This window comes from Homo sapiens, chromosome 2, assembly GCF_000001405.40.
Source record: "Homo sapiens chromosome 2, GRCh38.p14 Primary Assembly".
In the NCBI taxonomy this organism is placed as follows: domain Eukaryota; kingdom Metazoa; phylum Chordata; class Mammalia; order Primates; family Hominidae; genus Homo; species Homo sapiens.
The window spans coordinates 21,818,184-21,830,991 of NC_000002.12; the positions used below are offsets into that span (position 1 = coordinate 21,818,184).

The following is a 12,808-nucleotide window of genomic DNA, read 5'->3' on the forward strand; positions in this document are numbered from 1 at the left end:
TTGGATTTTGTCCTGCAGAGAGAAAATGATACTATTTCTGCTCCAGTCAGTGGTTTCTTGCTCTCTGCCTGACACCAACTCCCTCAGAGGGCAAATTCTCTCCTGGGAAATGCAAATAGCTTTGTTTTCTTTGAGATAATTGCTTATTTTGAATAATATATGCTGTGCATAAGTAATGAGTGGAGAGACAGTGTGCAAACATGCCTTTGCTTTTCTTCAACTGCCTCCTACTCGGGCACTAGAAGAGCGATGCTGGGGTGGACAAGCCCACCTCCCCAACAGCAGTCCCATTGTCTCTGCACTGACACATCAGCATTGCTACCACACAGTCTCTCTGCTGGGCTGGGAACAGCCGGCTTCAACCTGCTGCCTTGTTTACTAAATGGAATCAGCAGATAATTTCACGGTGATATAGACAGCGTGAAAATCTCACTCAAGATTCATAAATCCTGCTTTAAATTCGGCCAGCTTGTACACAAGCTGCCCTCTCAGCTCTTTCCAATTGGAAGTTGCAGTCACACCAAGAATGGAAGATGGAGTTTGAGACAGAGAAGTACATGCCTAGTCTGACTACCTAGTCCCAGGGAAGGATGTAGAGACCGAAGTGATTTGGGCCAGGTAAGTGGGGAGAGAGGCATTCATCACAATACTCAGTCACAAAGTGGAGGAAATGCAAGTCATAGTGCAAACAGCTGTGGCCTGAGAATCAGGATCACTGAGGTCTTATTGGATAAATCTGCTAATCACGTGTCACAGGCCAAGAGGATGTTAAGCTTGTTCTCTCCTCCAAATTTATTTAACTCCTAATAAAACATATATGGTTTAGGGGATATCCCAGAGGTTTAGATGAAAGTTCTGAATTTGGGAAGACAAAAGGAGTGAAGGTTAAGGTGAGCCACTTGGAAACAGTCATGCCATGAGAAAGAAGAAATCTAATGCCAACTGAGCTCCTGAAGTGTGGACTTCTGATCTTTGTCCATTTTTGATCTTTGAGTCTCCACAGTTTTCAGCATACAGGATGTTTCTTTCAGGCTGGGTGTGGTGGCTCACACCTGTAATCCCAGCACTTTGGGAGGCCTAGGCAGGCAGATCATGAGGTCAGGAGTTCGAGACAAGCCTGAGCAACACTGTGAAACCTCGTCTCTACTAAAAATACGAAAATTAGTCAGGCGTGGTGGCGTGTGCCTGTAATCCCACTACTCAGGAGGCTGAGGCAAGAGAATTGCTTGAACCTGGGAGGCAGAGGTTGCAGTGAGCCAAGATCACCCCACTATACTCCAGCCTGGGTGACAAAGCGAGACTCTGACTCAAAAAAAAAAAAAAAAAAATCACTATTTCAATGAAAGTCTTCTCATTTCATTGAAACACACACACACACTTAAAAAAGACATGACCTATGTATTGTGAGTCATTATTAGTATGTTAGGCAAAGTATTCTGTTACTTCCTTGGACTGAATGGAATTTTTTATTAAGCAACCATTGCAAATGACATGGGTCAGTTTTGCTGGAGAATTTCTTGAGAAGCTGTGGGCAAAGTGACCACAGAAAGGCTAGCATCATGTGACAGTGGCTGCGGTCCTGTTCCATTTTATGCTCTATTCTATGTGTTCACTCTTCTTAGGCAAGCATAGCCACTAAATTCTGCAGTCTAATCAGCCTAAAAACTGAGCTCCATAAATTTGGAAAAAAAAATCCATGAATTTAGAAAAAAAATCAATGGAGAATTGGTGGTTTTAACCCACGTTAAAAGTGAGTATTTACAGAATCAAGGACAGATGGGCTAGCACCATAATCTTACCCTGGCAAAATCTCTGAGGTATGTGATATTGCCACTGGACAAAGTGGAAAGACCACTGATTGGGGAAAGTTTCTTTTTATTTCCTTTTTGGCCATTTTGTGTTTATTCAGAAGAGTTCATAGAAACAATCTTCAAATTTTAAAGCAAATATAACCATGAGCATTTCCCTGAAGCTAAATCCAAGACCACACGTCTACACATCTTCATTTCTCAATTGCATAATTTTGGAGATGGTGTTTTCTGTGTGGAAAAGGAGTCCAGACTCATCTGTGACTTTTTTGGAAAAACTACAAAAAGATTGAGATGGTTACTACAACATCTTATTCTTATTAGTCTGCATTAGCTTGTTTGGGCTACCATAACAAAATACCACACACTAGATGGCCTAAACAACAGAAATTTATTTCCTCACAGTTCTGGAATCTGAACTCTGAAATCAAGGTGCCGGTCTGGTTGTTTTCTGGTTGGTCTCTTCCTGGCCTGCAGATGGCTGGCTGCCTTCTAGCTATGTCCTCTTGTGACCTTTCACTGGTGCCTGCATACAGAGAGAGAAAGAGTATGAGCTCTCTGATGCACATTCTTATAAAGGCATCAATTCTATGCAATCAGGGCCCCATCTTTATGATCTCATTTAACCTTAATTAGTTCTTTTGAGTCCCAATCTCCAAATATAGTCACATTAGGGGTTAAGACTTCAACGTAAGGATTTTGGGAGGAAACAAACATTTAGTCTTTAATGGGATATATTCATATATCATGGAAGGAGCAAGAGCTTGTCCTAATACCATACCATATATAGTGGGTAGACTTTAGGGTAGGGTTACTTCATGGAATGAAGATCATAAATGTTTATGTAGGGTTTCAATTTCTCAAATCTAAGTGATAGAGTATAAGAACATGAAATCTGCTGACTATGGGAAGTGATTTCCAGTGGGAAATGGTTGCACCTGACCTCAGAGTAGAGGCTGAGCTAGACTGGATTTCAGAGTTTCTATCCACCCTGTCTTGGGATCATACTATTGATCAAATAAGCCTTCCTAGGAGAAGAAACACTAAGCCCTAGCAAGTCTGCCGAACTCTAATCATCAGGGAATGGATTAAAGCCAACAGATGAAGATTAAAAGACAGCATTACCATTCTTAGAGATTCTTGGATAAATTACAAAATTCAATTTAGAGGGACTCAAGGGCTGATTGTCATACACCTATTGGTCACTGAACACTTATGCTTGTGGTAGAGAAGCCTTCACCTTGCCTCCAAGGGACAGGGTGAATCATGCATGTTCAAATTGTATTGCTTAGTTTACAGGCAAATAAATTTGTCTGCCAGCTGCCTGGACTAGAAAAAAATGATGTGTCTCATTTACATAGCAAAGCGAAACAGTGAAGGGTCTTGATAAAATATAGGTGCTATTGCCCAGGTCTGAGTGCAATAGACATGAAAGAGATGTGGCTGGTGATAAGAAACGACAAATTCTAGGAGAAAAATGTATTTATTTGGAAGATGCTCACTTTCTGCAAAAAGGTTAGTTTAAACATCTGAGCTAATGTACTGTAAACTGTTAAACTATTTCCTAAACAAAGGGAGTGCATAAACGACATATTGATTGTTTTTCGTTGGTGCATTGTGTATTTTAGGTTACAGCTTGTTTGCAACTGAAAGTAAACTGTAGCAATGTGATGGATTTGCCTATGTGTGAAATGGATCTTCAACAAGGGAATCACAAAACGTTTACACTTCTAGACATGAGCACTCCCAACACACCGTAGTCTGCCTTTCCAATTTCATCCAACTGTGATGGAAGGAAGAAAAAATTCCGTAACATCAATGTGCACTTAATTGTCAGAGGGAAATAAAATTACAAAGTTTAGTAATACCATAAAAATCTGTGCTGTTATGCAAGAATCTAAAATTACATGCTCTCTAAAGGAAAATCATTACACTATAGGGACTCACAAAAGCTTTCCAAACAGAGCTGCATAATCTCACAGTTAAGAGCAGTTTCTTCTGGTTGAAAGAGACTAAAAACAAAACAACAAAAAAAGCACTCATTGTCATGTTGTAACGGTCGACCCATTCAAGGTGACTGTGGGTCATTTTGCTGTTTTGAGCCTGTGATGTTAGGAATGTAAGGGTGAAGATAATGTGTTTTATATGTATAAATTTAAACTGTGCTCTATTATTTGATGTGAACTCCAATTAGCACGTTCTTTTACATTCTAATAGGTGGCTCAATCATCTGTTTTTTAAAAAAGCAATGGGATTCTCTTAAAGGTGGCCATAATTAAGGCGGGAAGGCGGGGCGGGGAGGGGAGAAAAAGAAAGAACACAAATAATTAGCTCATATAATTGAGGTGATTTTCCTAAGGATAGAAGCCATGTATCTTCTCCTTAAAGGAGGGTAGGGGGGAAAGGGCACTGGGTTTTGTTAATGCATCTTCTGACATAGAATTTAAGCTTTGTTTGTTCTATACATGGTGATGTAAAATGACATATTCTGGGTCTCTGGATGTGGGAAAAGTTAATGGGGTTTCAAGGTATTGCTTTGGATTTCTCTTCTCTCTGCTCTTCTCCGTCAAAACTCGCTATTATTTCCTGTTGGATTCCCAAGAGATCACCTATCAGAAGCAGAAGGGTAAGCTCAACTATGCAGCTTACAGAAGTACAGGCACCACCATTACCAAGATAATTATCTTAAATTCTTTGACCACATGCCTTGCCTCAGTCAAGACTCCTCCATCTGTGCAAAAATTTTGCCCTGCTCACATATCCCAGGGTGATTCAGTGTAGAGAAAATGGCTTTGGACTCAGACTACATTGGATTGTAGGATTGAGTCCACTTGTTAGACTAGGATGTCAAGTGTTGTTTTGAATTAATGTTATCTTCAGTTTTATCCTCTGTAAATTGGAGAAAATACCTATTTCATTAGAATCAAGGAAAAAAATGCACATTTCTTTCCTTTGTCTTGGCAGCAGATTTAAGTCTGCGGGCAATGAACAATTGCCAGAAGGAGGAAACTCAATTCTGGCAAAAGTGAGTACAAAGAAAAAAGTACCAAGTATTAATGGCCATGGTATTTAAGGTCAATTTAATACAGAATTACAAGTAGGCCTGCTAGGTTTCTTATAAGTATATCCATGCAATATTTGGCACACAGTCATAGTTTAAAAAATTGTTATTTATCTGAAATTCAAATTAAACTCTGTGCTCTGGTATTTAATTTGGTAACACTAATCACAAAGTGTCATGGATATGTGGCAAAAAGGCTGAATATCAGTGTGAAGGTCAGCAGGCCAGGCTGATACACATGGAGAAACTGCCAGCTGATTATTACTGAGTTGAAGCATTAAATACTAAGGTACTTGCTGAGATGCTTGGAAGAATCAGGTTTAACTAATGACTATGATATGTTAGCACTTAGCCAGATAAAGAATTGATAATTGCTAAGAGATCATAATTATGATATTGTGTTTAATCCGAAATTAATTTGTAGCAAGAGATTACTAATGTTGATTTATTATACCCAGTTACAAGATGTATGTGGATTACCTTGAACCAACTGTTTGTAGCTTAGGAAGGGAGAACCTACCACATGCAGGGTTTACTCTCCCCTTAGGAAATAAACATGAAGGGAATAAGTCACTTCACCACTGGATTTGATCTCTATATGATATTATCTATGTTTTTTATATATCTGTTCATTACGCCTCCTGGGTCTATCAATTTCTGAGAATAGTATGATAAAATCTCTAGCAAGAATTCACAGGGTCTCTATATTTTTCTTTGGTTTGGCTTTATGTATTTTGAAACTGTATTATTATAGTCATAACTATTTATAATTTATTTTCTTGACCAATTGTACTTCTTACCATTATGATGAACCTCTTTGATATTTTGTAATATTTTTGTCTCAAATTATATTTTGCTAGATATTAATAACACTCCTTCAGATGTCTTTTGGTTATGTTTACATGACATATTTTTTCCATCTTTTATTTTCAGTTCTTATTTTCAAATCATTACAGATAATATATTTTTGCATGTTTCTTTTTAATTTCAGTCTGAGTTATGGTCTTTTCATTTGTGAATTTAATCCAATAATATTATAGATTAATATTATTATATTAGAATTTGTTTCTGTTCCTTTATTTTACATTTTTCCTTTAATGTCTTTCTTTTTTTTAAATTTTTTTCTCTTTCCCTTTTTGCGTTGGCCATGAAAGGTTTTCTTCTGATGGTTTTAAAATTATATATTCTACTTTTGTTTTTACACTATCTTTATGCAAAGAACACTTCTCATATTTATGTCTATGTTGATCTCTTAAATATTTTATCTATATCTCTTCCATAACCAGTCAGAAAAGGTATCAGACTCTCAAATCCTTTTGGCCTTTCCACCTACTTCATCTCTACTGAATATTAGTTCTAGGTTTATATCACAATATAGACTACTGTTCTTCTCTCATCCTAGTTTCAAGGCACAACTATGGTCTTTGCTAAAATACTAAATTATCCTTACTTCTTATACAGGTTGCCGTATCTACCTGGTTGTAGTTTTCTTATTTGAATGCCTCTCCCTAGAGTATTTTTCCAAGTGGATTTTTGTATCCCTAAATCTTCCGAGGCTGACATGCTTGAGAATATTTTTACTTACCTCCCTATTGCCATTTAGCTAACGAAATAATAATTCTGAAACCTGAGATTGATCTCATTCAGTTTCATTATAGAAAACCAGAATTTTTTTCTGGAGATGTCTCTGTGTTTGCTACTTCTAAAGTGTTTAGGTAGGGATATTTTCTTACTTATCCTAATTAGACCTTTCTGGGCCCTTTCAGTCTGAAGTCTCACATCTTGTTTTAATTTTAGGAATTTTATCCTCATTAGCTTTTGCAAATATTTCCTTTCCTGTGTTTATTACTTTTTGTTCTTCAGAAACTCTTACAGAGGTTGGGACTTCTACATCTATCTTCTGTATGTATTGCTTAACTTTTCTCTTGCATCTTCTTTATCCTGTTTTGTATTCTGAGAGTTCCTCAATCTGATCTTTGAGCTTGCTCATTCACTCTTTCGTTATACTCATCTATTTAGGCCATTTAAAATATTTCAGCTACCATATTCTGCATTCTTAGTATTTCCAACTTTTTATGATTCATTGCTTTTGCTTTATATTAATACCCTCTCTCCTATCTTTGAGAGTATTTATTGTGCTTATTTTCTATTCTTAGGCCATCTGTTCCAATAAGTCTGTTTTATATACCATATGCTGTTTAGTTTGTAGTATTTATGTATAATAATATTCTTCAGATGTGTAAAAATTTGGCATGCTACTTCATTTTCCTAATAGTTACCTTTTATGGCAATAGCCAGGCCCAAATTCGAGGCCATGTTGGACATCTAAAGGGAGGCAATAAGCCTCAAATTGGAAAACTCTAGCATTTGTCGTGGACATACCTTAGATGACCCCCAATAAGTCATGTCCTTATAAATATCCTCCCTTCCAGTGCAAGCAGAACCTATGACTTGCTTTTAACCAATACACCATAGAAAACATTGATGGAATGATACCCCTTACCTCATGATTACATTTTGTTATATATTACCCTGTCTTAGCAGACTAGAGAGATAGATTCTCCTGCTTGTCTCGATGGAACAAGTAGTCATGTTGTGAATTGCCTACGGAGAAGGCCACGTGATAGGAAACTGCAAGTGGCCTGCAGAATGGAGATGAGCCCTGGATGAAAGCCAGCAAGAAAATCGGGACCTCAGTCCTGTAGCTTCAGGATGACTTCTTCCAACAACCTGATGGAGATTGGAAGTGTACCTTTTCCCAGTCAAACCTCTGATGAGACTGCAGGCCCAGTCAAACCTGGATTGCTACCTGATGAAACTCTAGGGCAGAGGACCTATTTAAAGTGTGCCTGCACTTCATGACATGCAGATACTGTGAAATAATGAATATGTGCTGTTTTACACCTCTAAGTTTGCAGCAATTCGTTATACAGCAATAGAAAACCAGTACAGCACCCACCCTCTGTTGAGTACTCTTCTTGGCTCCTATACAACCAGTCAACTCTTCTGAATAGGTAGTGCCTTTAAATCATTAGAGGAAAGCACCATTAGGAGAAGGAAGTTGTTTCAGACGTAATTCACTAGCCATAAAAGGTTGAGATAATGGGGAGTTAGGGTGGATGTCCTCAGATGGATAGCAAACTCCCATCTGTTTTCATCATCACCACCACTCAGGTATAAATTCTCAAAGTCTTCATTATGTTATTCATGTTTTAGACAACAACACACTTTACTGGGGTATTTGGTTACCCTTATTTTTCAGATTTCATGGAGCATCCTCTAGGATTTCTTTTAGGGTTTTTAAAGAAGGGTTTTATTATCGTTGCCATCATCTGCATCCTAAAATTAAAAAAAAAATTCCTTGCTGTAGGATTGAAGTTATTTTCCTTCAACACTTTGAAAATGTTAATATTCTGTCGCCTTGTTTTTTCTGTTGGTATTGAAAAGTTTTGTATCAATCTGAATGTTTTTCACTTAAAAATAACTGCATTCTCTGAAAGCAGTTAGGATATTGTCTCAAATTTTCCTATAATACACATATGTGTGCATTTTTCTTTATACAATTTTGTACTTTTTAAGGTCTCTTCAACTTAGGTGTTCATATTTTAAATTCTGAGAACTTTCTTCTGATTCTAGTTTTATCTATTTCTACCTCTTAATTTATTTGTTTTACTTCTTTCTGGTACTGTTATGATTGGTTGGTGACAGTTGTGTCTCTATATTCCATATTTAAAAACTTGTTTGTTACATTTGCCATTATGTCATACTTTTCTGATGTTTTCAAAATAAGTTATTGAATACCACCTTTCTATTCATCAATTCTGATAATTATTCATCCTGTAACATATTTTGTGTATTATATATTCAATAAATCTACTTGTTTCTTTTTGATTATTGCTTATTATTGATTAATATCATCAGTATATCCTACCTTATCTCTTTTAAGATATTTATCATGTTTGTTTTAAAATGGTAATCTCTGTATAACATTTATTCAGAACCATGGAGTATACACTATTATGTATGTTGCCATTCCATTGTAAAGACTGTGCTGAGATGATTTATTTTTCTCTTTAAGATCATTTACCTTAGCCATTCGTAGTTCCCAGGGGAGAAGGACCTCTGTTCTATTTTATTGACTTTAATGTTGTTGGATGGTGCTGACATATCCATTTACTGTGTTACCACCAGTCTTTCCTTCTTCTTAGGAAAGCCCAGGTACTTCTCCAAGAATTACTTTCTCTTGGCTGTAACTACCTACCTTTAAGGTTTAGAAGAGAAGATGATTATGCTCAGCAGCTGCCATTTCTCAGAGCATTTTATCCACTCCTAACTCAGCAGGTCTTCTGCACTGTGTTGTTGGTATCTTGTGAACAGAAAAATACTTAGCATAATTTCTTTTTTTTTTCATAAGTTATTGGGGTATAGGAGGTATTTGGTTACATGAGTAAGTTCTTTAGGGGTGATTCGTGAGATTTTGGTGCACCCATAACCCGAGCAGTATACACTGCACTCTATTTATAGTCTTTTATCCCTTGCCACCCTCCCTCTCTTTCCCCCAAGTCCCCCAAGTCCATCGTATAATTCTTATGTCTTTGTGTCCTCATAGCTTAGCTCCCGCAAATTAGAACATACAGTGTTTGATTTTCCATTCCTGAAATACTTCACTTAGAATAATAGTCTCCAATCTCAACCAGGTCACTGCAAATGTTCTTAATTAATTCCTTTTTATGGCTGAGTAGTATTCCATCATATATATCACAGTTTCTTTATCCACTTGTTGATTGACGGGCATTTAGGTTGGTTCCACGATTTTGCAATTTTGAATTGTGCTGCTAGAAACGTGTGTGCAAGTTTCTTTTTTGGATAATGACTTCTTTTTTTAAGTTAATTTATTTTTTTATTATACTTTAAGTTATAGGGTACATGTGCACAGGTGGCTAGGCAATTAACCCAGCACCATTTGTTGAAAAGGGTGTTCTTTCCTCACTTTATGTTTTTGCTCACTTTGTCGAAGATCAGTTGGCTGTAAGTATTTGGGTTTATTTCTGGGCTCTCTACTGTGTTCCATTGGTCTATGTGCCTATTTTTATACCAGTACCACACTGTTTTGGTGACTATGGCCTTATAGTATAGTTTGAAATCAGGTAGTGTGATGCCTCCAGATTTGTTCTTTTTGCTTAGTCTTGCTTTGGCTATGCGGGCTCTTTTTTGGTTCCATATGAGTTTAGAATTGTTTTTTATAATTCTGTGAAGAATGATTTTGATATTTTGATGTGGATTGTATTGAATGTGTAGATTCCTTTTGGCAGTATGATAATTTCCACAATAGTTAGTCTATCCATCCATGAGCATGGGATGGGTTTCCATTTGTTTGTATCATCTGTGATTTATTTCAGCAGTGTTTTGTAGTTTTCCTTGTAGAGGTCTTTTAACTCCTGGGCTAGGTGTATTCCTAAGGTGGTTTTTTTCTTTTTTTTTCTTTTTCTTTTTTTTTTTGCAGCTATTGTAAAAGGGGTTGAGTTCTTGATTTGATTCTCTGCTTAGTCATTGTTGGTGTATAGAAGAGCTACTGATTTGTGTACATTAATCTTGTATCCAGACACTTTGCTGAATTCTTTTATCACTTCTAGGAGCTTTCTGGAGGAGTCTTTAAGGTTTTCAAGGTAAATGATCATGTCATCAGCAAACAGTGACACTTTGACTTCTTCTTTACCGGTTTGGATGCCCTGTATTTCTTTCTCTTGTCTGATTGTTCTGGCTAGGACTTCCAGTACTATGTTGAACAGGAGGGGTGAGAGTAGTCATCCTTGTCTTGTTCCAGTTCTCAGAGGGAATGCTTTCAACTTTTCCCCATTCAGTATTATGTTGGCTGTGGGTTTGTCATAGATGGCTTTTATTACATTGAGGAATGTCCTTTGTATGTCAATATTTTGCTGAGAGTTTTAATCATAAAGGGATGTTGGATTTTGTTGAGTGCTTTTTCTGCATCTACTGAGATGATCATGTGATTTTTGTTTTTAATTATGTTTATGTGGTGTATCACATTTATTGACTTGCGTATGTTAAACCATCCCTGGCATCCCTGACATGAAACCCAGTTGATCATTGTGGATTATCTTTTTGATATGTTGTTGGATTCGGTTAGCTAGTACTTTGTTAAGGATTTTAGCATCTATGTTCATCAAGGATATCAGTCTGTAGTTTTCTTTTTTGGTTATGCCCTTTCCTGGTTTTGGTATTAGGGTGATGCCGGCTTCATAGAATTAATTAGGGAGGATTCCTTTTTATCTTGCGGAATAGTGTCAAAGGATTGGTACCAATTTTTCTTTGAATGTCTGGTAGAATTCTGCTGTGAATCCATTTGGTCCTGGAATTTCTTTGTTGGTAATTTTCAAATTACCATTTCAGTCTTGCTGCTTGTTATGGGTCTGTTTAGGGTATTTAATTCTTCCTGATTTAAGCTAGAAGGGTTATATTTTTCCAGGAATGTATCCATCTTTTCTAGGTTTTCTGGTTTATGTGTGTAAAGGTGTTCATAGTAGCCTTGCATGATCTTTTGTATTTCAGTGGTGTCAGTTGTAATATCTCCTGTTTCTCTTCTTAGTGAGGTTATCTGGATTGTCTCTCTTTTCTTGGTTAGTCTCGTTAATGGTCTATCAATTCCTTCCCTACACGCCCTGTTAGCAGAAGACAAAACTGAAATTATATCAAGCACTCTCTCAGGACACAGTGGAATAAAACTGGAAATCAACTCCAAAAGAAAGCTTCAAAACCATGCAAATACATGGAAATTAAATAACCTGCTCCTGAATGAGCATTGGGTCAAAAATGAAATCAAGATGGAAATTTAATAATTCTTCAAACTGAATGACAATAATGACACAACCTATCAAAACCTCTGGGATAGAGCAAAGGCAGTGCTAAGAGGAAAGTGCATAGCCCTAAACACCTACATCAAAAAGACTGGAAGAGCACAAGCTGACATTTTAAGGTCACACCTCAAGGAACTAGAAAATAAGAACAAAGCAAACACAAACCAAGCAGAAGAAAGGAAATAACCAAGACTGGAGAAGAACTAAATCAAATTGAAACAAACAAACAAAAAATACAAAAGATAAATGAAACAAAAAGCAGTTTCTTTGAAAAGATAAATAAAATTGAGGTTCATTTTATGGCCTATCATGTGGTCTATCTTCGAGAAAGTTCCATGTGCTATTGAATAAAATTTGTATTCTGTGGTTGTTGGATGAAATGTTTTGTATATATCTGTTAGGTCTATTTGTTCCAAGGTATAGTTTAAATCCATTGTTTCTTTGTTAACGTTCTGTCTTGATGGCCTGTCTAATGCTGTGAGTGGAGTATTGAAGTCTCCCACTATTATTGTGTTGCTGTCTATCTCATTTCTTAGGTCTATTAGTAATTGTTTTATAAATTTGGGAGCTCCAGTGTGAGGTGCATATATGTTTAGGATTGTGATATTTTCCTGTTGGACAAGGCCTTCTACTATTTTATAATGTCCCTCGTTGTCTCTTTTAACAGCTGTTGCTTTAAAATTAGTTGTGACTGATATAAGAATAGCTACCCCTGCTCTCTTTTGGTGTCCATTTGCATGAAATGTCTTTTTTCATCTCTTTACTTAAGTTTACCTGAGTCCTTATGTGTTAGATGAGTCTCCTGAAGGCAGTAGATAGTTGGTTGGTGTGTTCTGATCCATTCTGTGGTTCTATATCTTTTAAGTGGAGCATTTAGGCCATTTACATTCAATGTTAGTATTGAGATGTGAGGTACCATTGCATTCATCATGCTGTTTTTTGTCTGTGTACTTTGTTTTTTTGATGTTTGTTTTGCTTTTTAACTTGTATTTTTGTTTTATAAGTCCTTTGTGATTTATGCTTTAAAGAAGTTCTGTTTTGAATGTTTCCAGGATTTGTTTCAA

The 12,808-nt window shown here is 36.6% G+C and overlaps 1 annotated feature.

Annotated features, from left to right (window-relative positions):
* Nucleotides 3,627-4,153: an enhancer, noted in NCBI's record as "NANOG hESC enhancer chr2:22044682-22045208 (GRCh37/hg19 assembly coordinates)". NCBI's record gives its function as "activates a minimal SCP1, AML or CMV promoter by ChIP-STARR-seq in naive H9 embryonic stem cells {active_cell/tissue: H9 hESC(naive)}" and the evidence as "EXISTENCE:reporter gene assay evidence [ECO:0000049][PMID:30033119]".